General features: G+C 39.9%; 1 protein-coding gene across 5 annotated transcripts, besides 6 other annotated features; it reads left to right on the plus strand.

Moving 5' to 3' along the window:
- Window positions 140-399: a silencer, noted in NCBI's record as "silent region_6717". NCBI's record gives its function as "represses an Ori minimal core promoter by ATAC-STARR-seq in GM12878 lymphoblastoid cells {active_cell/tissue: GM12878}" and the evidence as "EXISTENCE:reporter gene assay evidence [ECO:0000049][PMID:35858748]".
- Window positions 368-25,617, plus strand: MORF4L1 (mortality factor 4 like 1). 5 transcript variants are annotated; one of them, NM_206839.3, is made up of 13 exons: window positions 368-535; window positions 5,691-5,737; window positions 7,990-8,057; window positions 12,445-12,561; window positions 13,619-13,705; window positions 14,747-14,827; window positions 18,467-18,492; window positions 18,962-19,050; window positions 19,690-19,791; window positions 21,017-21,105; window positions 21,536-21,708; window positions 22,298-22,382; window positions 24,461-25,617. In NM_206839.3, the coding sequence occupies exons 1-13, from the start codon at window positions 496-498 to the stop codon at window positions 24,543-24,545; spliced, it is 1,089 nt and encodes a 362-aa protein (NP_996670.1). In that variant the 5' UTR covers window positions 368-495; the 3' UTR covers window positions 24,546-25,617. The 5 variants fall into 5 exon arrangements, with proteins under 5 accessions (NP_996670.1, NP_001252533.1, NP_001252534.1 ...); NM_001265604.2 differs by lacking the exon at window positions 12,445-12,561 and having other exon boundaries at window positions 368-696; NM_001265605.2 differs by lacking the exon at window positions 12,445-12,561 and having other exon boundaries at window positions 368-596.
- Window positions 810-869: a silencer, noted in NCBI's record as "silent region_6718". NCBI's record gives its function as "represses an Ori minimal core promoter by ATAC-STARR-seq in GM12878 lymphoblastoid cells {active_cell/tissue: GM12878}" and the evidence as "EXISTENCE:reporter gene assay evidence [ECO:0000049][PMID:35858748]".
- Window positions 955-1,586: an enhancer, noted in NCBI's record as "NANOG-H3K27ac-H3K4me1 hESC enhancer chr15:79165819-79166450 (GRCh37/hg19 assembly coordinates)". NCBI's record gives its function as "activates a minimal SCP1, AML or CMV promoter by ChIP-STARR-seq in primed H9 embryonic stem cells {active_cell/tissue: H9 hESC(primed)}" and the evidence as "EXISTENCE:reporter gene assay evidence [ECO:0000049][PMID:30033119]".
- Window positions 980-1,219: an enhancer, noted in NCBI's record as "active region_9922". NCBI's record gives its function as "activates an Ori minimal core promoter by ATAC-STARR-seq in GM12878 lymphoblastoid cells {active_cell/tissue: GM12878}" and the evidence as "EXISTENCE:reporter gene assay evidence [ECO:0000049][PMID:35858748]".
- Window positions 1,871-1,980: a silencer, noted in NCBI's record as "silent region_6719". NCBI's record gives its function as "represses an Ori minimal core promoter by ATAC-STARR-seq in GM12878 lymphoblastoid cells {active_cell/tissue: GM12878}" and the evidence as "EXISTENCE:reporter gene assay evidence [ECO:0000049][PMID:35858748]".
- Window positions 3,445-4,046: an enhancer, noted in NCBI's record as "H3K4me1 hESC enhancer chr15:79168309-79168910 (GRCh37/hg19 assembly coordinates)". NCBI's record gives its function as "activates a minimal SCP1, AML or CMV promoter by ChIP-STARR-seq in primed H9 embryonic stem cells {active_cell/tissue: H9 hESC(primed)}" and the evidence as "EXISTENCE:reporter gene assay evidence [ECO:0000049][PMID:30033119]".
- Window positions 25,618-26,090: the final 473 nt, after the last annotated feature.

Genomic DNA, 26,090 nt, shown 5'->3' on the forward strand with positions numbered 1-26,090 from the left:
TCAACGGGGGCTTATTTGCCCAAGGGACGTCGCAACTGGGCCTTTCCCATTCTATTATCACTGGTGGCTCACCACCCCCACTCTCCCCCATCGCCAGCTCCGCCTTAACCTCCCACGAAATCAAATCCCCGCTTTACCAACCCGCAGCAGCCGGGGGCATGGAGAGAGAAGCGGGGGTGGGGTGGGGTAGGGTAGCCGGCCCCTCCCCCACCCGGGGGGGGGGGGGGGGCGCCTCCACCGACTCCGAACTACCAGTCCCGGCGTGCCCTGGGGCGGCGCGGGCGCAGGGGCGCGTGCGCGGCGGGCTGTCGTTGGCTGGAGCAGCGGCTGCGCGGGTCGCGGTGCTGTGAGGTCTGCGGGCGCTGGCAAATCCGGCCCAGGATGTAGAGCTGGCAGTGCCTGACGGCGCGTCTGACGCGGAGTTGGGTGGGGTAGAGAGTAGGGGGCGGTAGTCGGGGGTGGTGGGAGAAGGAGGAGGCGGCGAATCACTTATAAATGGCGCCGAAGCAGGACCCGAAGCCTAAATTCCAGGAGGGTGAGTGTGCGCCTTTGGGAAAAAGGCACCTAACGGCGCAGGAGATAGAGGCGGGCTCGAGGTGATTGAGGCTTGAGGGCCGGGGGCGGCGCGGGCTGCGCCCTGAGAAGGCGGCGGTCAGTGCTTTGTGCGGGGAAAGCGCATTGCGGATGGCAATTCCGGTGCGTCATTGTGAGAAAGCGCTTTGTGAAGCGAGAGTGCTGCGCAGGCGTTAGAGTGGGAGAGAGAGCGTTTGGCGCGTGGCACACCCTCGTCAAGTGTTTGTTATTGTTCTGAGGAAGAGGGCGCGGAGAGAGCAGCCTATTGTAGGGAGGCGACGGGAGCGCCATGGCGGCGGTTAGGGGAAGTGATGTGGCGGCGGGGGGGGAGGGGCGGTGGCTGTTTCGGGCGGTCCTGCGGCGCGCCCGGCCGCTTGGGCAGCTACGACGGGTTTTTCGGTGCTTCCTGGAGCCCCGGGGTGGTTGCGTTCGGTGGCAACTCAGCTGCGGATGGGGGTGGGTTTGGCGCCACGGGGCGGGAGAAGTGCGTTGTAAAATGGCCGTTGCAAGATGGCGGCGCCATCATGGCCGCCGGCGTCTCGGTCCCGTATGGAGGCACAGCTTACGGGCAGATGCAGCGCCCCCTTCCACGACGACCAGAAGGTTGCCGGGGCCCTCCGCATACCACAGAGTGGTGGGTGGGGACAGAAAAAAAAAAGTGAGATGAGCGTTTTCCTCCGCTTTGTGTTGCCTGGAGGCATCACTCTGCTATTCTTGGGCGCAGTGCCGAGATCCTATGGTAATGTGAGTGAGCTCTCGCTTTGCAGTTGCTCGTAAAAAGTAAATAAAAATGATCTGAATGCAGTGTTGACGCCGTTTGCATTTGTAAGTCCCATTGCCTCGACGTCATTTTTTAAATGCAGTAATTGTTTGATTAGTTGCAGTGTTTAACAATGACTTGAAAGTTGAATTTCTTTTTATTAATTGGTTTTCGATTGACATGAGTTTTGGGTAAGGTTAGACTGACTCCCAGTGGAAGGCAGCTCTTTAAATTTTCACAACGCTTCAGTTAACGTATAATAAGGTGGAGGTCTAATAGCTAAAAAGGAAGTAAAGTCCTGTTGAGAAAGGAGGAACACTTTAACATTCCTTTTCATTGCTATGGAAATTTATGCTAGTTACCGTAAATACGATGTCTACATGCGTACGATTTTTGTTCTAGGGGTTTTTAGACTTGCATTAGAATTCCTTTTAGAGCCGTAAACCTCAAACCGTAGTACTGCGTATTTTAAGTTTATGGAATATTTAAGGAGGTTTTAGGGGTATTTTGTTAATGAGTGACTTTTTTTGTTTGTATTTTTGAGACGATGTTTGTCACCCAGGCTGTAGTGCAGTGACGCTATCTCGGCTCACCTCTGCCCCCCACCCGGGCTAAAGCGAGCCTCCCAAGTAGCTGGGATCACAGACGCGCGCCATCACGTCCGGCTAAGTTTTGTTTTGTTCTGTTTTGTTTTTTAGGGTTTTTGTTTTTTCTTTTCTTTTTCTTTCTTTTTTTTTTTTTTTTTTTGTATTTTTGGTAGAGACGGGGTTTCATGTTGCCCAGGCTGGTCTCGAACTCCTGGGCTTGAGCGATCCACCCGCCTCGGCCTCCCAAAGTTGTGGGGGGTTAACGGGCGTGAGGCATCGCTCTCGGCCGTGTGACTTTTAATACCCCTCTCTCACCTTGAGAAGCTGTTGACTCTACCTCCTATGGGTTCATTATTTTACTAGACATTTTAGAGCAGATATTCTTAATCTAGAGTCAGTGCATTAATTGAGACGGTGCGTGAAATTGAGGAAGATTTTTTTTTCTATCTCCCAAGTTTAGTATTTCAATTAACAGTGTAATTGCTCCCCCTAAACCCCGAAAAAAACCACCACATTAGCATTTTCAGTATATTTTCATATCTCAACATTACAGTTATGGAAGATGTTTTCAGTTATCGCATTCTTATTTCTTCAAAATTAGGGTAGTTATTGTATTAGCAGCCAAGTCTTGTTTGTCCTGTAATGTCATAGAACGTGACATTTAAAGTGTTTTGTTTCAGTACAGTTGGTTTCCTTTGTACTAGTGTGTGTTTTATGTATTTATGAAACTATTAGGCTCGTAGGGTTTATCAGACTGTCAAGGCACAAAAAGTTAATCGCTGCTGTGGGAACAACCTAAGGATGGCTGTTCTGGAAGAAGCGCTTTAGTTCTAGAGGGTTGCTAGTTAAGAGAGGAGTAGCAGCAGAGATTTCCTTGTGCCGTTTTAAGTGGGGTAATTGGAGAAGAGTAGGAACCAAGGTATCCCCAGGTAAGGGTTTGAAAGCTGTGTAAGAGAGTCTGTATTTAACATTACTTTCCAGGTGTGTTTTGTACTTGTGTTTAAAATGGAATTGTGTAACCACGTTTTAAAAATGATTTTAGTGGGTGGGGCACGGTGGCTCACGCCTCTAATCCCAGCACTTTGGGAGGCCGAGGTGGGTGGGGGCGGTGGATCACCTGAGGTCAGCGGTTCGAGACCAGCCTGGTCAGCCTGGTGAGCCTGGTGAAACCCAGTCTCTACTAAAAATACAAAAATTAGCAGGGCGTGGTGTTAGGCTCCTGTAATCCCGGCTACTCGGGCGGCTGAGACAGGAAATCGCTTGAACCCGGGAGTCGGAGGTTGCAGTAGGCCGAGATCCTGCCATCGCACTCCAGCCTGGGCCACAGAGTGAGACTCCATTTCAAAAAAAAAAAAAATTTATTAATTAGATGATCGGAGAATATCTTGCAAGGGAAAAAGAATATTTGATGAGTGCTAACAGAATCGTCTTGAAACACTGTAGAGTTTATGTAATGGTAGAGAAAAGAGTGGCGAGAAGTAGTGTTTTTTTGTTTTGTTTTGTTTTTTTCTTTTTGAGACAGTCTTGCTCTGTCGCCCAGGCTGGAGTCCAGTGGCGCGATCTCGGGTCACTGCAGCCTCCGCCTCCTGGGTTCAAGCGATTCACCTGCCTCAGCCTCCTGAGTAGCTGGGATTATAGGCACGCGCCACCACGCCCAGCTAATTTTTGTATTTTTAGTAGAGACGGGGTTTCACCATGTTGGCCAGGATGGTCTCGATCTCCTGACCTCGTGATCCGCCTACTTCGCCGTCGCAAAGTTCTGGGATTACAGGTGCGAGCCACCGCGCCCGGCCGAGAAATAGGGTTTTTAATGATTCTTGTAAACTTGTTAAAAAAAAAACAACTCGTAAACTTATAAAAAAGTTTTTTTTTATTTGATAATGGCGTGCAATATATGTTGTATAAGCAATTCTTAAGGCATAGTGATTGCTTTGCACTGGACTTGGTTTTCCATTGGAAATTCTTTTTTGTTTTGTTTTGTTTAGATTTTGAGACGGAGCATTTGCTGTCCTGGGTCATACTCCTCAGCTAGCTGTATATTTTTTCAACAAAATACTAGGGCCTCGTAGCTAGAATGGAGGTCACAGGGCCTCGGTTTCAGTGCACTTTTTTTTCCGGCAGTAGCAGCCAAGGGGAGAAAAATGGTAGGCCATTTTCAGAGTGCCTTTAAAATGTACCAGGAGAGTGAAATTAGGAAACACAGATCTGATCTGATCTTGTTCGCTGTTTATTAGCAGTATAGTTTACCCATTTTAGTTCTCGTTCCTGGGCCGTTGGAGAAGTCTTTGATCTTCCCGTTTTCCAGTCTCCGTCTTTAATTCAGAAATGCTATTCGTAGGTCCAGCAGCCTCTAGCAGTGATTCTTTATAGAGTGACCACTTAAAAGAATTATAGAACTGATTTAAAAATAAAGTTAATAGGTCGTGCTCTGGGAGAGTCTAATAATATGGGTCTTTGGTGGGGCTTGAAAATACATAGTTTTAAAAAATATTTTAAATTTTAGTGGTTTTTTTTTGAGGCGGAGTCTTGCTCTCCCATCCGGGCTGGAGTGCAGTGGTGTGATCTCTGCTCACTGCGACCTCCAGCTCCTGGGTTCAAGCGATTCTCATGTCTCAGCCTCCCGAGTAGCTGGTAGCTGGGACTGAAGGTGCACATCACCACGCCCGGCTGATTTTTTTTTTTTTTTTTTTTTTTTTTTGAGAGGGCGGCTCCTTCTCACCCAGGCTGGAGTGCGGTGACAAGATCTTAGCTCACTGCAACCTCCACCTCCCGGGTTCAAGCGATTCTCGTGCCTCAGCCTCCCGAATAGCTGGGATTACAGGCACACACCACCATGCCTGGCTGATTTTTGTATTTTTAGAAGAGACAGGGTTTCGCCTGTTGGCCAGGCTGGTCTCAAACTCCTGACCTCAGGTGATCCAGCCACCTCGGCCTCCCTAAGTGATGGGATTACAGGCGTGAGCCACCTCGCCCCGCCTGCTCTTTTAATTTTAGAGCTAAAAAAGAGCTGACATTCTTGGATATTTCAGTTGTCCATGGGTCTTTTGAAACCAAGTGGACTGAAAATAATGTGTGCAAAATCTTTCAAGCTACACTCAAATGTAATCTGAGGTACTGCCTAGAATTGCTTCCAAGACTTCCAGGTCCTGACATTTTCTTTAGTCTTGAAGTAGGCTCAACGTAGACTGTTACGTTCCAAAGGTTAGGCTTTATTGTCTCATTTCTTTGTTCATTGAAGCAACTTAGCACCTAGAACATCATTCCACATTTGAAGAATGAACATAGTGAGACCCCTTAATCCAGCCAATCTCTGATGCATATTGATATTTTAATTTGTACGATATTTCACTGAGTAAAAGGGTTGGAAGCAGAGATACAAGTGGAGAGTAAAGGTCCTCAACTTAGAAAAACAGATGAGGAAAGCATTTAAAAAACTGTATTTTCAGATATATAGTTAAAACCAACCAACCAACCAACCTCGACAGCTTTGCAGGAGAGTCCGCTTATGTGCTTAACAGGTGATAGATGATTTGATTATTTAAGTAGATTGACCTGCTAATGAATTGTTTTTGTTTTTACCATCGGATACCAACGTGTTTTTGTCGTAGGGTATAGTTGAAGTTTGAGCCAAAGTGGTGCTCTGTATACCCGTCCTCATTTTTCCTAATTTGGCTAGGAATACCTTAATAAAAGTGTGATGACTCTCTAAGATGTTAATCTTTTTATATATGAGAAGAAATTACAATTCAGTACTTTTTCTCCCTTTACAGGTGAGCGAGTGCTGTGCTTTCATGGGCCTCTTCTTTATGAAGCAAAGGTATGAAACTTGTTTTCTTTTGAGAAGTTGGCCAAAACTACTGGTTAGATCTGGCCATTTAATATACAAGTACAGTATTTTGTTGTTGCCTCAGTAAGAGAGTTGCCTTTTTTAGGTTCGTAGTTAATAAATTTCTTCATCTTTCTGAGATTCTTATTGTTTTGCTTAGTGGCTCAAATGAATTAAAACATTGCTACTCTCTTCCACTTTTCTTACTCATCTGGAAGTAGCATTTGAGGGGAATGTTAGAAGGGGAAGATGGGCTGTGGGAACAAAGAGCATTTTGTGGTTAATGACTTGGTGAGAAAACATTGCTGAAGTTACTTTTAAAAGTAATATATGCTGAGTAAGCATTGAGCTAATTATATTAGGTTAAAGGTAAAAGCCAATATTAAAAATAAGTACATTTAACTGTTGATTGTTGATTTGTCTGGCAAAGTTTGTATTCTGGGAGGCCCCCTTTGTATCAGGGTGTGCTCAAGTTATAAAAACTGATTTTACATTTAGCTGAAGGTAAGCAGGAGAATGCATTCCAAAGTAAAAAAAAGTTTCAGTATTTTGTTTCTGATAACTTTTTTAGTACAAATATTTAAGACTTGACTATACCTTAAACAGTCGTAGCTCCAAAAATGAGCCCGTAAAATACAAAACAGTATAATGTTTAATTTATGTAATTTCTGCATAAATTCTTGGTGAGTAGTTTTATGCTATATGTGTCTGAAAATAGCCTTAAAGTGTCAGACATTTCTGACTAAATATTAGCCATTTTCACTACTTTTTTTTTTCCTGTGTTCTAAATACACAGAAGTGTATTTTTAAAGTTCTAAAGAGCCAAACGCGGTGGCACATGCATGTAGTTTCAGCTACTCAGAAGGCTGAGGCTAGAGGATTGCTTGAGCCCAGGAGTTCAAGGCCAGTTTGGGCAACCAAGCGAGACTCTCTCTCTCTTTATTTTTATGCTCCCCGCCCCGCCCCGCCCCCCAAGACAGTATTGCTCTGTCGCCCAGGCTGGAGTGCAGTGGTGCGATCTTGGCTCACTGTGACGTCCCCCTCCCGGGTTGAAGCAATTCTCCTGCCTCAGCCTCCCGAGTAGCTGGGATTACAGGCACCAGCCACCACACCTGGCTAATTTTTGTAGTTTTAGTAGAGACGGGGTTTCACCATGTTGACCAGGCTGGTCTTGAACTCCTGACCTCGTGATCCACCTGCCTCGGCCTCCCAAAGTGTTGGGATTAGAGGTGTGAGCCATTGCCCCTTGGGAGACTGTCTCTTAAAAAAGAAATCCTAAAATGACTGAATTTGGATGTATGGAGATGGTCAGGAATTTCTAAGTATATGTATACGTACATACATCTTAATGATATAATGTTTGTAAGTGCTAAATTACGACTCATGGCCAGGGGCTGTGACGTACAAGCCTGTAATCCCAGGGCTTTGGGGAGCCAAAGCAGGAGGATCACTTGAGGTCAGGAGTTTGAGATCAGTCTGGGCAAGATAGCAAGACTGTCTCTACCAAAAAAAAAAAAAAAAATTATGTCCTGTTAATCGTTTTTATCCCTGAATGTTGTTATTGTTGTATCAACGTTTGGCAAACTCTACTAAACTGGCTGATTTTTCTCCTGGCACCTGACACTCTGGTGAACAATTTTCGAATTGAAGCTATTGAAACAAATTAAACTGTTGTGGTTATTTTGGTTTTCTCTTAAAGACTTTTAAATCCAAAACCAGATAGTCATCACTTGTCATAGTTAATGACTTGCCTCTAGTAATTCCTTTTGTCTGGCTGCTTTTAAGAAAAGTGAAATATTTTTAATTCATTGCTTTACAAGTTGTTTAAACTAACTTTTCAGAAACAGGTCCATTTACTGCCTTTCATAAGCTAATGAAGTTTTTTTATAATATAGTTTAAAGACTTTGCTTTAGAGGAATTTGCTTTTGAAATAAATATAGCTCCTGGCTGATTAGACTGAGAAGACACAAGCATAGCTTTCATTAGCTGTCCTTGGATAGCTTTTGTAATCCATTGATTAAAGATTTAAGGTGACCTTTTATGCTTGTGGTTCTCAGCTTTGTTGGACCTTTTGTGACTAATCTTCAGTTTTGTAACTTGAGTATTCTACAAGCTTAGTGTTCTTAGTCATTCTGTTTAGGCCACCATAAAGCTTGTGTAGAGTGTCTTTGAAGGATGATTTGAAAAGGTAGTGTCTTTAAAAAATTTCTAAGTGAATTATTATTTTTTTTTTGAATTTCAGTGTGTAAAGGTTGCCATAAAGGACAAACAAGTGAAATACTTCATACATTACAGTGGTTGGAATAAAAAGTGAGTATTAGATCTTACAATTCTATTTGTAATTAACAAGATAGCTTGTGTCACTGACTGGCTTAGCAAGCATATGCTTTTCAATTCTGCAGTTTTAATGTAATATAGTACATATTGAAGCAAAGGTGAATCATTTGTAGTATGACAAAACTATTAGAAATTAGGGTACTGAGCCATTTTAATTTAAATATACTTGGATCTTGGGAATATTTGTTATGTTCTAGTGTAATATCTATTAGTCATATAGTCAATCAATTATTCTGGTTGAATGTGGCAATCACATTTTTCTGTTTTTTTTTTTTTCCTGGTTTTGGTACATTTTTAGGATGGCCTGAATTATTTGGCCTTACCACAAACATGTTGATTATATATGTTATTTCAAGCAGCTGTGCTAAAAAAAACTAGTTGGGTTTTCTGTCTAGAAAAGGGGAAAGGATAAAGGTTGCTTGATTGGGAAATAAAGACAGAATTTACCAGTCCATATTCTGAACTTTGGAAACATTATTTAGTGTTGACCGAAAATGACTTCATGTGACTCACTTTTTAGCATGGTTTAACACAGAAACATTCAATTATAGAGTCTTAATTTCTCACCCCTAAGAGTTAAGCCTTTTTTTTTTTTTTTTTTTGAGAGATGGAGTTTTGCTTTCGTTGCCCAGGCTGGAGTGTGCAATGGTGTGAGCTCGGCTCACTGCAACCTCCGCCTCAGGGGTTCAGGTGATTCTCCTGCCTCAGCCTCCTGAGTAGCTGGGATTACAGGCACCTGTCACCATGCCCAGCTAATTTTTTGTATTTTTAGTAGAGACGGAGTTTCACCACATTGGCCAGGCTGTCTTGAACTCTTGACCTCAGGTGATCCACCCGCCTCGGCCTCCCAAAGTGCTGGGATTACAGGTGTGAGCCACTGCCCGGCCTTTTTGTGTGTGTGTGTGTGTATGTAAAGTACCGATGTTATTGATCTTGTTCTAGGAATGGACAGTGGGTATAGATTGAACACATTCTAGAATGTCCATCCAGTGGAGCTGTTTTTCAGTGATGGGACTTTTCTCCTTGGGCCTCACAAATAACCCTGTCTAAAAATTTACCCAAGTCTCCTATTTGGTGATTGTAATGAAAAGACTTGTAATTTTTACTATGGGAGGTTTTACATTTTATTAATGATGCCTTGTCCTTCAAAGATAGCACTGCCATTGCTATTTAGTATTGTTCTTGTGGAATTGTCCTCTAGTAACTTAAGGCTTTGTGTCACCTGACTCAGGCTCTTTTACCTGGTTTACTATGGGATCAGTGCCATCTGATTTGATGAGTATTCTGTTACTATGGAAGGAGTTTATTTTTCCTGTGAAGTTCACTGGCCCTGTGACTTTGGTCTTGTTTCATCTAGTACTCTATCCAGGTGACCAACCCAGTTAATTTTATTTCTTTGTTAGGAAGTTGTTTTCACGTATCAGATGTTTTCAGCTGAGAATTTATCAGACCTTTTACTTCCATTAATATAAATGTGGAAAGGTAGAAATCTGAAATGCATAGAAGTGCATCCTGACAACTTGTGGGTATTTTTTTCCCAGTTAATGATAATTAAAGTATTTCTAATCAGTGAGGTGTGGTGGTGTGCACCTGTAGCTACTTGGAAGGCTGAGGCAGGAGGATTACTTGAGCCCAGGAGTTTGGGGCTGCAGTGAGCTATGATGTGCCACTGCACTCTAGCCTGAGTGACAGAGCAAGATCTGGACTCCTTTAAAAAGAAACAACAACATGTATTTCTAATAATGATAGGTAATATTTAATAATGATAGGTAACTCCAACCTCATGGACTTGTATTTTAAATATTGAGAAGTTGGGAAAATAATGGAGAAAACTGTCTTGGTAGAAGTAAACTGTGCTTTTAGTACTAAATGGATTCTAATATCTAGGAAACAGGAAAATAGTGACTCCTAGTGTATCTCATAGCTTTTTATTACTAAACAATGCCTTGCTAAAACTGCATTTCAATCTTTATTAGACTTATATTTTGTGTGTTGATATTCTGACAATATCCAGATAAAGTTGAGAGTGTTAGGAGAATTTCATTTCTCTACAGGAAAGATAACATCTTAATTTTATGCATACTATGAGTGGGAAAGACCATATAGGATATCAAAAAAAAACACAAAGCAAATTTATGGTTTAGGCTTAATCTCCTCCATCTCCTGCATTTTAAAGGAATTGTTTTAGAGCCAGTATGGTGGTGCCTATAGTTTTAGCTTCTTAGGGAGGCTGAGGTTGAGCCCAGGAGTTTGAGGCCAGCCTGGGCAACATAGGTAGACACCCCTCTTATAATTAAGCAAATAAAAATTTTAAAAAAGTGTTTGAGGCTGGGTGTAGTGGCTCATGCCTGTAATCTCAACACTTTGGGAGGCCAAAACGGTTGGATCATTTGAGGTCAGGAGTTCAAGTCCAGCCTGGCCAACATGGTGAAACCCCATCTCTACTAAAAATAAAAAAATTAGCCAGGTGTGGTGGCACACGACTGTAGTCCCAGCTGCTGGGGAGGCTGAGGCAGGAGAATCGCTTGAACCCAGGAGGCGAAGGTTGCAGTGAGCTGAGATTGCACCACTGTATTCTAGCCTAGGCGACAGAGTGAGACTCAGGAAAAAAAAAAAAAAAGCGATTGAACACATAAAAAACTAAGGGAAACTACGACAAGGGAATAGAATAAAGAAGATATTTTTAAAAACCTTAAAAAATTATTTTAGAATTTCACCTTAGTAACTGTGAATACAGCTTTTGTGCTTAGTTCTTTTTCACATATAATAGATAACCCTGTATAAAATTGCACACATAGATGTGTACAGCGCAAAGACTGGATTTTAAGTGGCATTTGTAGCTTGTCACAAGTTGTGAAAATACCAAATGCTTGTATTTTCAGATTTTATTGTTTCGAAAAATAATGGGCATTTTCCTCTTTGGTGTATTGTAGTCCAGTAACTCAAAGAAATGATAGGTTTGTGTAGATTTTTTTGTTCTCAACTAATTTGACACATATTAATTACTGTTGGGGAAAGTTAAGAAAAAATAGCATCAAATATTAGAGATTTGTTACTATCTTTGTAGATGTATTGAGGAATATTAATATATCAGAAATGTCTTTGGTTGACTTGGCATGTAGATAAATATATGCAATGTTGAAAGAATGATCTTAGCTTTAGAAAGTCTTTAAAGAAACCTTTAAATTCATTTTGAAAGGGGGAGGAGTTATTCAGATACCTAGTGTGTTGTGTATTTAGTCTATGTAAGTACTGCCCATGGATCATTGTGACTCTGGGAATTAGTCACATTACCGTTAGAAAACTATGAAATTCTGGGCCAGGCGCGGTGGCTCACACCTGTAATCCCAGCACTTTGGGAGGCCGAGGCGGGCAGATCACAAGGTCAGGAGTTCTAGACCAGCCTGGCCAACATGATGAAATCCCGTCTCTAGTAAAAATACAAAAATTAGCCAGGTGTGGTGGTTCATGCCTGTAATCCCAGCTAGTTTGTAGGCTGAGGCAGGAGAACTGCTTGAACCTGGGAGGCAGAGGTTGCAGTGAGCCGAGATCGTGCCACTGCACTCCAGCCTGGGCGACAGAGCAAGACTCCATCTCAAAAAAAAAAACAAAAAGCTGAAATTCTTGCCAGGCGCGATGGCTCATGCCTGTAATCCCAGCACTTTGGGAGGCCTAGGCAGGTGGATCACGAGGTCAGGAGTTCAAAACCAGCCTGGCCATGGTGGTGAAACTCTGTCTCTACTAAAAATTAGCTGGGTGTAGTGGCGCGCACCTGTAGTCCCAGCATTTTGGGAAGCCGAGGGTGGGCGGATCACCTGAGGCTAGGAGTTCGAGACAAGCCTGACCAACATGGAGAAACCCTGTCTGTACTAAAAATACAAAATTAGCTGGGCGTGGTGGCGCATGCCTGTAATCCCAATTACTCAGGAGGCTGAGGCAGGAGAATCGCTAGAACCCAGGAGGCAGAGGTTGTGGTGAGCCAAGATCACGCCATTGCACTCCAGCCAGGGCAACGAGAGCGCAACTCTGTCTCAAAAAAAAAAAAAAAAAAAATACACACACACACACACACACACACACAAATATCTCAAAAATAATCTCATTTTGAAAATGGCTTGTGCAGGGTACTTTTTAAAATTCGTACAACAAAACCTTAATCCCTAAATTGGAATTCTCTTAAACTTCAGTTAATCTTTTTTCAAAAACATAATAGATGATGGAGATTTCTAAATTTTCAAACCTCATTGGAATTTGTTGACACACACTTAAATACTCCATTTGTAAATGAATCTTAATAAAGCTGAGGCTCAATTCTGCACCTGGTCACTGAGATTACTTTGTACTATGCTGTCTGTATCAGAAGTGCTGTGAGGCCCAGGCGCTCTGAAAAATCTTTGAAGACACATGAGGATATTGTAGCCCTTTTTCCTGTTCCTGAAGGAGCTCCCTCAGTACACCACCCCCTCCTGACCTCTAGGTAAATGCATGTTTTGAAATTTTCTCTAGGAAATCATGTTCAGGATTGCTTTTTATTATTTTCCTCTTGGCTGTATTATATAAGAGGTCAGAGGTGGGAAATCATTAAACAAAAGAAAGTCTTAAATTTTTTTTTGTAATTGGGTGCCTTGAGAGTACACCTAATTGTGTCACTAAAGGAGCTCCATCAGCAGGAGAAAAGATTTACTGCTCAAAAAAAGTTAGCATTCCCTAAGAAATTACATTGTTTTTGTTTGCCATTTTGGGGGAAAAAACACATAATCAGAAATTGTGTTTTGAACAAGCTCTTTGAAGTGCCAGAATGTCTTAACATTTTTGAGAGAGTTGGTTCTGCCTTCTAATATTTAGAAAGCCAGCTTTCTGATCAGCCTTGAAAGTTATTAGTGTGTATTCATTTGTGACTGAATGAAGGTGGAGAATGGTGTCAAATCATTTTAATACTTTACAAACTTAAGTTAGTCTAGTTGGTGTTTGAGTATTGTAGACTTCCTAATATGTTTCTGACATACCTTTAGTGTTGTTTTGTGTCAGGGATTCTCAGGTGTTTTACATGTATTCTCATAACAGTTATTTGAGATAAGTACTGTTGTTATCCTCATTTCATAGAGAATGAAATGAAAACACAAAGCTATATGGAACTTTGTCATTACACACAGCTGGTTTTAATTTTTAAAAATAACTGAGTTTTTGACTCCTGTGCTTTATTTTTGACAATAAAAGTCTTTAAGATAACATAAGACTAATCACTTAGTGAATCTTACATTAAGTGCCAAACTCTTAAGCCATTTCTAAAAATGATTTGAATAATCTGCTTTTGGACTCTGGCAGCTTAGATTTGGAATGCTGCTTTTTGAAAATAAAAAGTTTTCCTTTTTACAGAACAGACTTCCATTAGATCTTCATTTTAGTTGAGAATATATTTGTAGTGCCAGTTCATCAAATTACTTAAGAGAAATCCAGTCTTGCCTCTTGATCTCAGAAAATTAGTTGGAGAACAGAGTATTTTTGAGTTAAATTTTAACTTTCCTCTTTTTCAGTTGGGATGAATGGGTTCCGGAGAGCAGAGTACTCAAATACGTGGACACCAATTTGCAGAAACAGCGAGAACTTCAAAAAGCCAATCAGTAAGTTTGTTTTGTGAACTGAATATTAAGGAGAAATGCCTGTAGATTAATTCTGGACATGGAATGAACAATGGAGATCATGTTGGCTGCCCTGCCTATAAAATGATTCCTGGTACCTTTCAGCTGCTGTGTTACAGCTTTGACTTCAAGCGATCAAGCCATATCTAGGTAAAGGAAGTAGCATACCTGCCATTACTTGAGCTTATCTTAGACCTAGGTAGAAAACAGCAGAATGTTGTTGGAAATTGCTATAGGTATGAACTCACTGATAAAAATCTTTATTTTCGGGGGCTCTGGAAGACAAATTTGGTGGGGAAACAAGCAAACGAGGCATTTCCTATTCTGCTTTTCATCTCTGAAAGCACGGGAAAAGGGACCCTGAAAGACTCTATGATTTATAGGGTAATCTCAAAGTTGAAATGTATTTTTAAAAAAATTAAAACGATGGCTGGGCGCAGTGGCTCACGCCTGTAATCCCAGCATTTTGGGAGGCCAAGGCGGGTGGATCACGAGGTCAGGAGATCAAGACCATCCTGGCTAACACGGTGAAACCCCGTCTCTACTAAAAATTCAAAAAATTAGCCGGGCATGGTGGCGGGCGCCTGTAGTCCCAGCTACTCCGGAGGCTGAGGCAGGAGAATGGCGTGAACCCGGGAGGCAGAGCTTTCAGTGAGCGGAGATCGCGCCACTGCAGTGTAGCCTGGGCAGCACAGTGAAACTCTGTCTCAAAAAAAAAAAAAAAAAGAATTAAAATGGTAATGGGAACAAATAAAACACTGGGATTAGTGAATTCCAAAACAAATGGAATTTTCAATGCTATGAGAACAGTCTATTACAGTCACTTTTTATTACATTGATTTTAATTGAGCCTTTTGCTGTTTCTTGAGTGTTTTGTTTGATTTTTGTGGAAATATCTCTGTCCAACTTGTTAAAAACTTGTTGCCAGAATTTGAATGTAAATTCCTAATGGAATCAGGCTGACAATTTTTTTTTCACATAAATGCTCATTTTATGTTGACATTACTGAAATTATTTTTGAAGGGAGCAGTATGCAGAGGGGAAGATGAGAGGGGCTGCCCCAGGAAAGAAGACATCTGGTCTGCAACAGAAAAATGTTGAAGTGTAAGAAGCTCTTTGTTTTGATTTTGCATACTATATGTGAAGATAATATTTTATGTTCATTGTGTGTTAGACTGTGTTGAAGTGGAAACTTTGGAACATTGTTGGAACCAGTAAGAATCCCATTCCTCAGGTATCAGGTCGTTAAAGTAGTTTAAAATAACGTATTCCTTAATTTTCCTCAGCAGGTTCCCCCTCCCTTTAACTTGTGTGTATAAATATATGTGTGTGATGTTTTCTCTTACAAAGATAGTACTAGTGGTTATAAGTTTTGAGATAACTTTTGGCAAGCCTTTTCAAACCTAAAAAGCAAGTGCTGGCAAGTGCTAAAAATACATACGAATTAACCTCCACTTTGGTGAAACTCATGGTAAGAATATGTGAGAAGTTAAGGTTTCAAATAACTGCCCTCCTCATCCCCACCCCTAAGAAAACCATTGCTTTTTTTTGAGACAGAGTTTCCCTCTTGTTGCCCAGGCTGGAGTGCAGTGGTGTGATCTGTGCTCACTGCAACCTCTGCCTCCTGGGTTCAAGTGATTCTCCTGCCTCAGCCTCCCAAGTAGCGGGGATTACAGGCGTGTGCCACCACGCCTGGCTGATTTTTGTATTTTTAGTAGAGATGGAGTTTCACCATGTTGGTCAGGCTGACCTCCTGACCTCAGGTGATCCACCTGCCTTGGCCTCCCAGAGTGCTGGGATTATAGGCGTGAGCCACTGCTCCTGGCACAAAACCATTACTTCTTGTTAACTCTAGATTTTAGAACATCTGATAAGAAGCCTAGAGTGAGAAAGTCATGTGCATGCATACATTTTGTATGTTTAAAGTTTATGTAGGACGGTGCGGTGGCTCACACCTGTAATCCCCCTACTTTGTTTGGGAGGCTGAGGCAGGAGAATGGTTTGAGCCCAGGAGTTTGAGACCAACTTGGGCAACATCGGGAGCCTCTGGTTCTACAGAAAAATAAAAAAATTAGCTCGGGGGTGGTGGCACATGCTTGTAGTCCCACCTATTCAGGAGGCCGATGTGGGAGGGTCACTTGAGCCCAGGAGGTCAAGGCTGCACTTTAGTCTTGGCGACTGAGTGAGATCCTGTCTTTTAAAAAGAAAAAAAAAAAAGTTGATGTACCTGAAAGTGGATGACAAGAGTGGTAACTTAATAAGTATTCTTAAGTATTTGTAATAATAAAAACAAAAATTATAACTTTTATTAAGAGGTCATTTTATTTCCTACCAGAATTACTGATCTGATTTTTCTACTTAAAAGTAAGGTGTTACACCCAGTGCTTTGGGAGGCTGAGGTGGGAGGGATTGCTTGAGGCCAGGAGTTCTAGGCTGCAGTGATCTGTGATTGCACCACTGCGCTCCAGCCTCTTAAAAAAAGTAAGGTGTTACTAATGAAGGTATTTAGTATTTAATGCATTTGGAGATGTTTGAAGCTTTTTATTTTTTTTTAAACTCTTTTTGGTGAGAAGATAATTGGCAAGGATTAAGTGTGTTACTATTTGAGGATTGTTCATAGTTTTAATAAGTGGTAACATGTTTTCATGATCTGGTTCTTTGGAAAACTGTAGTGTAGTATTTCATTAGGATTTAATAGTAATTATGTCTTAAAAGGCAGTAATTTTCTCTATATAGAAAAGATTTTTATCAAAAGTAATAGTTCATAACTAATTCTTTATCACTGTGCTAAGTTATTATATAGAAATCTTAAGTGGTAGTATGCCCATAAGTTATTTGCATTTGAATACAGCATTGTGCAGTCTCCACTACAAAAATAATGGCTGAGTAAATATATGAAGTAAAGCTTTAAAATTTAAATTTCCCATTCTTGAACAGTAGAAGCCTCTTCAAACTGGCTTCTGAGTCTTTTGAAGGATCCTCAGTCTAGACGTTTGAAGCATGAATGTCAAGCTCTTACTACTAGGACTTATTGAAGTGTATGGGTTGAATATCCCTTATCTGAAGTGTTTCGGACCAGAAGCGTTTCAGATTCCAGACTTTTTTTGGATTTTGAAATGTTTGCGTTATACTTACCTGTTGAACATCCCAAATCCAAAATGCTTCAATGAGCATTTCCTTTGAATGTCATGTTGGCTCAGAAAATTGGGATTTTTGGAGCATTTTGGCTTTGGGATGCTGAACTCATCTATATTTTATAGATCTTTTACTTTAGAGTTGAGATCACCTGTCAGTATTTTAGTTTTATATTACAGAGGTGAGTGGGTAAAGGATTGAGTGTGAAGACTATTGGTTTCTCTTGGTCTCCACATATTGACACGTGCAAGTAAAGTTCATGGTTGACTTTGACCGAGAAATACAGTCCAACAGATTTTTACAAAACTAACAGACAAGAGAAAACCTATACACAGATTTTTGTGTTTATATCCAAACATAAGTTAATTTGAATTGTCAAACCTTAAGACCTAAATTAAATGAATATATTTAATTAATAACATTTATAAGTATTATTTAAAGCTACAGAAAAGTAAAAAATCCAGGTGTTATAGTATCTTTCCATCGAAAGTAATCCATAATCATGGGCTCTATAAACTGTTTCCTTTGTGGTCTAGAAATAATAATGTAAAAAAGCAAAATTAGGCCAGGCATGGTGGCACACGCCTGTAATAGCATTTTGGAAGGCCGAGGTATGCGAATCACTTGAGGTCAGGAGTTTGAGACCAGCCTGGCCAACATGGTGAAATCCCGTCTCTTAAAATACAAAAATGAGCTGGGAGTGGTGGTGGGTGCCTATGGTCCCAGCTACTTGGAAGGCTGAGGCAGGAGAATCGCTTGAACCCGGGAGGAGGAGGTTGCAGTGAGCCGAGATCACCCAACAGACAGAGCAAGACTCCATCTCAAAATAAATAAATAAAGCAAAATTAGCAATTTACCATTTGACAGTATATAAGTGACGTGAGGTAAGTTGCTGTTAGAGATGATAATCAAGATGAGGAGACTTAAAACAAAAAAATTACACAAATCTAAAAATATTTTGGGGAACAAAAATAATTGGAAAAAAATTTTAACCTTTGACACCTTTTTTTTTTGGTGGGCCTAATAATGTAGTATATACTATAACATATATTAATATAACCCTGGAAGAACGAAGTTGTTTACTAAAGTGTTCTTGGTTTGCTTTTCTTTTTTTTTTGTCTTTGAGACAGGGTCTCTGTCACCAAGACTGGAGTGCAGTGGTGCAATCAAGGCTCACTGCAGCCTTGGCCTCCTGGGCTCAAGCAATCCTCTCACCTCAGCTTCCCAAGTAGCTGGGACTATAGGCGTTTGCCAGTATGCCCAGTTAATTTTTGTATTTTTTATAGAGAACAGGATTTGCCATGTTGCCCAGGCTGGTCTGGAATTTTGAGCTCTAGAGATCCACCCCCTCTTCACCTCCCAAAATGCTGGGATTACAGGCATGTGCCACTGCGCCTGGCTTGGTTTATTTTTTTCTATTATGTGGAGAGAGATGGGAATTTAACCAACTATCAATAAAAATCCTTGTGTCTGAGTAGGACACATATTTACCACCTGATCCTTTATCCAAGTTAGTATTTCTCTGTGAACTTAACCCTGATAAAGGGAGTTGAAACAGAGGCAGTTTTACTGGAAATAATTATTTTTCTTTTTTTTCTCTCCTTTTAGGAAAACGAAAAAGAACAAACAGAAAAGTAAGAATATTAACTTTCTTAACGTTAATTTATGTTACCTCTATGACATTGACGTTTTTATTTTGAAAGCTATGAAATTTTGGAGTAAGCTTATGTTTATTGATTATCTCAAATAGGAGTCTCACAGCAGTGTTATAAAATAGGTACATGGTGGTAGAGACCTCTTTTTGCCAAGGAGAAACTTGTGAGCATTTATTTTCATCTGCTTTAGTCTTAATGTCTCCCACTGAGAAGATAACATTTATAAATAAATGGAAGATGGTGATACTAAATGTTGTCTATACTAAATGTTCGGTAGAGCTCTTCATGAAAGTTGTATTTTTGGTAGGAATATGATTCTTTAACTTAGATTGAGGTAACAGCTGTGTAATGGAGAAATAATGAAAAGGGTTAATGTGTCAAGAGACTATTTTCCTTATAGAGTTTGTTAAATTAGCTAAATGAGACCCCTCCCCGCCAACATTTACAGCACCTGGAAATGGAGATGGTGGCAGTACCAGTGAGACCCCTCAGCCTCCTCGGAAGAAAAGGGCCCGGGTAGATCCTACTGTTGAAAATGTGAGTTTTTCTTGTGTTTATGAATAGCATGTTAGGATTTTTAGTCTCAGTTACATGACATAACCATGGGAGCTTTGATTATCTACAAGATTTGCTTACATGGTTAATACCTGAAATTAAAAATTTTCTCTTTTGGGGGTAAAGGATAAATTTCTGTATATCTTTATTTCACCTGTAGCTCCAGATTTACCTACCCAATTGATCATTTGTTGTGTAAGCTTCATGTTCACCTACAAGACTATTTCTTTGGTGTTACGTATTTATTTTTAGGAGTTAAAGATGTACCTTTAAGATGGTTGTGTTTGGAATAGTTTTGATATCCATGGTAAATAAGAAAATACTAAGTTAAAATGTATCAAGTCAGGGTGTTTCATTTCCTGAACAAGAGGAACCTTACTGAAGAATTTTTACCTTTACAAGAAAATGCACTAAATAGACTATAGTTCAGGTCAGATTCTTTTCTCCCAACAGCGAACCGCGTATGGTCGTTTTTATTAATGATTTTAAAAAATGACAGTACAGCTGTATGCTTGGCTACTTTAAGATTTATCCCTAGTGCCTCTAAAAGTCAGCTCCCCTCCATGTTTGGTATTTAGCAAGAAAGGTTAGGTTTTTAATACTCCTCCTGTTTCTGTTTAGGAGGAAACATTCATGAACAGAGTTGAAGTTAAAGTAAAGATTCCTGAAGAGCTAAAACCGTGGCTTGTTGATGACTGGGACTTAATTACCAGGCAAAAACAGGTAACTTGAAAAGCTACCCAGATTGTTAAGCTATATGATACATTCTTGCTAGCAAAAAAAGTTTTTAAAGGAAAATGTTATATTGACTTGAATTATTAAGGTATGACTGATAAAATAATATTTTAATTTAGAGGCTGAACACTTTAGAACTACTACCAGAAAGAGTAAGTTAGAAGAATAAAAGTTCACATATAAATTTTATGAGGTTATAATGATAAAGGTGGAAATAACTCATTTTTGGAGATTGCTAGGGCAGGAACTCGTTCTGAAAATTCATAAAGGTGAAGAAGCATATGTCTTACTGTCATTGCTAATGGTAGGCCATAGAAAGCACACACCACCACCTGCAAGGTATTCATGACCCTGAAAAGAACCTGAATCTTACTAAGCGCCTGGATCTATTGTTAGTTTGCAGGAAATAGGATGTTTAATGGAGTGACATGTTTGTCAATCGTTGAACTCTATAATTGAGAATTTTATAGGACAAATGAAGCTATTTGAACAAATGGCATAGGTAGGGTTAGGGATAGTTGGGGGAGATGATTAGGGACTGCTTGAGGATTATGAGACTTAAGAGACCTATCAGTCATATACAGTATGTGGATATAGTTTGAATTCTGATTTGAATCCTTTGGAGGGTTATGCAGTTACAGCTAAACTGCGAAGATTCAAGCATGGCTGTATCACTTATTATTTGTGAGTTTGGACAAGTTTCTTAGCCTTTTTGTGCTTCTGTTTTTGCATTTAATGGAATAATAGTTTGTATTTGACAATGCTGATGAGAGGACGAAAAGATAATTATTTTAATGCTTTAGACTAGATCTAGCAAATAGTATGCATAACAGTAAATGATGACTTGGTAGTACCACAAAGGCACATTCGTGTCTGTTATGTGTGTGTGACAGATTGACATTTTTAAAAGCTGTGCTGTTCTGTCTAGTAGAGTCTCATTTGGCTGTTTAAATATATAGATGCTCCATAACTTAGAATGGGGTTACATCGCAATAAACCCAGCAGAGAGTTGGAAAATTAAGTCCAAACCATTGTAAGTTGGGAACTGTCTGTAGTTTCTCAGCCACATTATCCATGTTTTAAGTGCTGAATAGTATCTTTCCTAATTTGAAATACTGTTACTGTTACCTGATCTTTGTATAAAAACTTGCCTGGTATGATTTTTCTTTAAAAAAGAGAGTGCTTATATTTAAGCATATTTTTGTCTTCATAGCTCTTTTATCTTCCTGCCAAGAAGAATGTGGATTCCATTCTTGAGGATTATGCAAATTACAAGAAATCTCGTGGAAACACAGATAATAAGTAAGAATATACATTTTTCAGATGACACTCAAAAGACATTTAAAAAAGTTTCTAAATAAGTCATCTGAAACTTGTACTGACTCCGAAACATTAATACCACCAGAAACTAGCAAAATAGAATTTCACTGCTTTGACACAGGAGTTGGCTGGCTGACTTTTTCTTAAAGGGCCAGATAGTAAATATTTTAGGTAAAATTTAAGCTATCATGTAGGTATTTGCATAACCATTTAAAATTTAACCATCTGAAAATGTAAGAATCATCTTAATTGCTTTAGTTTGTCAAACCCTGCTTTCATATGCCCTTTAAAAAAATCTCAGCTATGGTTCATTATTACTAGCTCAGCTTTTAATTCTTTAAATTGGTTGAATTATTCTCTATGTCAGTTATTTTTATTGACCAGTTTTGGAATATTTTTGTTCATTTATCAGGGAGTATGCGGTTAATGAAGTTGTGGCAGGGATAAAAGAATACTTCAACGTAATGTTGGGTACCCAGCTACTCTATAAATTTGAGAGACCACAGTATGCTGAAATTCTTGCAGATCATCCCGATGCACCCATGTCCCAGGTGTATGGAGCGCCACATCTCCTGAGATTATTTGGTAATATGTCATGTAGAAAATAATGGATTTTACTTTTTGGGGGGTCTTCTCTAAATGAATAAGAGGTAAAGTAATTAACTTTCCAAAACATGACTCCCATTTTAATTTGAACTTTTATCTAGAATGTTAAATAGCAAAATCTCTTTAGGAGCAAGAGTTTTAAAAATCGTGTATTTTATTTTATAATTTTTTTTTTTTGAGACAGACAGTCTCTGTTGCCCAGGCTGGAGTGCAGTGGTGCGATCTTTGCTCACTGCAACCTCCGCCTCCTGGGTTCAACAATTCTCCTGCCTCAGCCTCCCAAGTAGCTGGGATCACAGGTGTGCACCACCACATCTGTGGTAATTTTTGTATTTTCTGTAGAGATGGGGTTTCACCACGTTCGCCAGGGTGGTCTTGAATACCTGACCTCAAGCGATCGCCTATCTCGGCCTCCCAAAGTGCTGGGATTACAGGCGTGAGCCACTATGCCCGGCCTAAAATCATGTATTTTAAAGGAATTGGTGGTGTTTGCTCACATAATTAAAATACATGGTTGTAGTGCCCCTGCCTTGGATGTAACTTTGGATAAATTCTCTTGTTTAAACAGTACGAATTGGAGCAATGTTGGCTTATACACCTCTGGATGAGAAGAGCCTTGCTTTATTACTCAATTATCTTCACGATTTCCTAAAGTAAGTCTGTGCTTGAAATTATAAACATGGATTTGAAAATTAGCGTGTAATGGGAGGGATTGGCAGTATAGATGCTAAAACATTAAACATTATATTGGTACAGGCATAGATAGTTGGTAATGGAGCAGTAAAAGTAAGTGCAAACACATGGGAGTCTCAGAAATGATAGATGGTATATAGATGATATATTGGTGCAGTAGGGGAAAGCAGTGGAGTCTGGTAGATTGGTGATAAGACAGCTGACAGTTTGGAAGAAAACAAAGCCACACTTGTCATGTACCAAAATTCTAGATGAATCTGAAGTTTAAAATTAAATTGTTAAGATAATGAAAGGAGAAATGTAATATTTTCATAGTTCTATAGTGTTCCATTTATGATAAATGGTTGGTACCTTTAATACACACAGAGTTCTTCGGTAAGAAATGAACAAACCAGTGAAAAGTAGGACAGGAAATTTACATCAATGGCAGCACAAAGGACCATTAAAAATATGTCAGAAATAATGATGAAAGTATAAACTGTCAGTAAAGTAGCACTTGTCAGATTGGCTAAGGTTTAAATGTTTGAAGAAATGGAGAAAAGGGCAATCCTGGTTTCTACAAGTTTTTGGAGGGCATTTTTATAATAGTGAAGAATTTGAAACAAGCACTTATTAAAAGGGTGAGGTCACTCTAAACATACTGATAAAGATGTCCATGTTTTCAATTGAAAAACAGCCAAGCTGTAGTAGAGGAGTATGGTGTAATTGTTACTTGTAGAGAAACATTATTTTAATCTTTGCATAAGATCTGGCTTTCCAATGTGGATCTTAGTTAATACTGGGTTATTTCTTGGGCGTGGTGTTGGAAGGGAGGGTGGGAGTTTTCAGTTTCTACTTTGTATACTTCTGTATATGAATTTTCTCATTACAATCGTTTTACAGTAAATTTAAAACTGCAACGTGGACTTGAGAATGTAGGCAAGATTTATCATCTTTTCTTTACTAATGATAAATACCTTCTTTGGACCTCAGTTTCTTTATGGAATGTGCTCTACTACTTGACATTTCACGTTCCCTTTTATGTAATTAAAAAAAAAAAGTTTATTCATTTAGAGATGGAGTCTTGCTCTGTCGCCCAGGCTGGAGTGCAGTGATGCGATCACAGCTCACTACAACCTCCGCCTCTTGGGTTCAAACGATTCTTGGGCCTCAGCCTCCCAAGTAGCTGGGATTACAGGTGCACACCACCATGCCTGACTGATGTTTGTATTTTTAGTAGAGATGGGGTTTTGCCATGTTGGCCAGGCTGATCTTGAACTCCTGGCCTCAAATTTTTGTGCCTCGGCCCCCCAAAGTGCTGTGATTACAGGTGTAAGCAACTGTGCTTGGCCTGATAGGATTTTTTTCTTTTTTCTTTTCTTTTCTTTTTTTTTTTTTTTTTTTTTTTGAGATGGAGTTTCACGCTTGTCCATGCTGGAGTACAGTGGCGTGATCTCAGCTCACCACAACCTCTGCCTCCAGGTTCAAGCAATTCTCCTGCCTCAGCCTCCCGAGTATCTGGGATTACAGGCATGCGCTACCATGTCCAGCTAATTTTGTGTCTTTAGTAGAGACGGGTTTCTCCACTTTGGTCAGGCTGGTCTTGAACCCCAACCTCAGGTGATCAGCTTGCCTTGGCCTCCCAAAGTGCTGGGATTACAGGCATGAGCCACCACTCCCGGCTGATAACGATTTTTTTTTTAGAAAATGTCTAGATGTTCTTTTAGGGTAATGCTGTCATGTAATAGGATAATAACTGTTTCTTAAAGATGGTTCAAGCTCCCAAGTTGGTATTCTGCAGACATAACTGTTCTTTGCTGTTTAGAAATAGGGGAGTAACTCCAGAGTTCATTCCTTTGTATATGTATAGTGTTGTTCATTGTATAACCTTATTTATTTACCTGAATTGTCATTATGTGTGGTTTTACTGTGAGAGAATGTCTGGTTTAATGTATTTTAGGAAAGTGTTTTCTGTGGCTTATGTATATAATATATAGGAAGAGATTTGGATCAAGATAATGACCTTTAAAAATTTTTGTAATGAATATTTTATTTTTAGGTACCTGGCAAAGAATTCTGCAACTTTGTTCAGTGCCAGCGATTATGAAGTGGCTCCTCCTGAGTACCATCGGAAAGCTGTGTGAGAGGCACTCTCACTCACTTATGTTTGGATCTCCGTAAACACATTTTTGTTCTTAGTCTATCTCTTGTACAAACGATGTGCTTTGAAGATGTTAGTGTATAACAATTGATGTTTGTTTTCTGTTTGATTTTAAACAGAGAAAAAATAAAAGGGGGTAATAGCTCCTTTTTTCTTCTTTCTTTTTTTTTTTCATTTCAAAATTGCTGCCAGTGTTTTCAATGATGGACAACAGAGGGATATGCTGTAGAGTGTTTTATTGCCTAGTTGACAAAGCTGCTTTTGAATGCTGGTGGTTCTATTCCTTTGACACTACGCACTTTTATAATACATGTTAATGCTATATGACAAAATGCTCTGATTCCTAGTGCCAAAGGTTCAATTCAGTGTATATAACTGAACACACTCATCCATTTGTGCTTTTGTTTTTTTTTATGGTGCTTAAAGTAAAGAGCCCATCCTTTGCAAGTCATCCATGTTGTTACTTAGGCATTTTATCTTGGCTCAAATTGTTGAAGAATGGTGGCTTGTTTCATGGTTTTTGTATTTGTGTCTAATGCACGTTTTAACATGATAGACGCAATGCATTGTGTAGCTAGTTTTCTGGAAAAGTCAATCTTTTAGGAATTGTTTTTCAGATCTTCAATAAATTTTTTCTTTAAATTTCAAAGAACAATGTGCTTGTGTTGATGCCTTACAAAAACCATTGTATATTTGTGTATTCCTTCTTGTATTTAGACAGTGGTTTTTCAGGTGCGTGCTTTGTTTTCTGGTATGGCCTTTATGGAATGAGACGCTTTAGCTTTGGTACGTAGCGCTAATCCATAGCAGCTTTGGCAGTTTGCTGTCTTGAGTCTTAGCTAAAAAGTTAGAAGTTTACATGACTGTTTTTTTTATTTTCCCTAAATTATTACTTACTCTGAGCATTAATTAAGGGCATTTTCACCTGTGTAAAATTATGGTCAGCTTTTTTCTGTCTATAATTGTTTACTTTTGTGGGTTTACTCTAGAAACATGAGCCAAAAATGTCAATAGACAACACAGTATTAAAATAACCCAAAAGTTGTAAAGGGCAACGTTTCTCCCCTTTGATAGGGACACTAAAGTGGTCTGTACTTGGGTAGAGGATGGCAGACGTTAAGAATTAAAATGCGTCTGGGTGCAGTGGCTCACGCTTGTAATCCCAGCACTTTGGGAGGCTGAGGCGGGCGGATCACCTGAGGTCAGGAGTTCGACACCAGCCTGATGAACATGGAGAAACCCCATCTCTACTAAAAATACAAATATTAGCTGGGCGTTGTGGCGCACGCCTGTAATCCCAGCGACTCACGAGGCTGAGGCAGGAGAATTGCTTGAACTCAGGAGGCAGAGGTTGCAGTGAGCCAAGATTGTGCCATTGCACTCCAGCCTGGGCAACAAGAGTGAAACTCTGTCTCAAAAAAAAAAAAAAAAAAACCCTCAGAAAACAATTAAAATGCAAAGCAGCAGATAAGTTCAGATGGCGAGAGTTACAGCAGCAATACAAGAGGGATAATGAGTGCAGGAGGGA

This window comes from Homo sapiens, chromosome 15 (assembly GCF_000001405.40).
Source record: "Homo sapiens chromosome 15, GRCh38.p14 Primary Assembly".
NCBI classification, from domain to species: domain Eukaryota; kingdom Metazoa; phylum Chordata; class Mammalia; order Primates; family Hominidae; genus Homo; species Homo sapiens.

Coding starts and splice junctions, on each gene's coding strand:
- MORF4L1 (NM_206839.3), top strand. CDS start 496: ATGGCGCCGAAGCAGGACCCGAAGCCTAAATTCCAGGAGG. Junction 5,738..7,989: donor CTCTTCTTTATGAAGCAAAG/GTATGAAACTTG, acceptor TTTGAATTTCAG/TGTGTAAAGGTTGCCATAAA. Junction 18,493..18,961: donor GAAAAAGAACAAACAGAAAA/GTAAGAATATTA, acceptor CAACATTTACAG/CACCTGGAAATGGAGATGGT.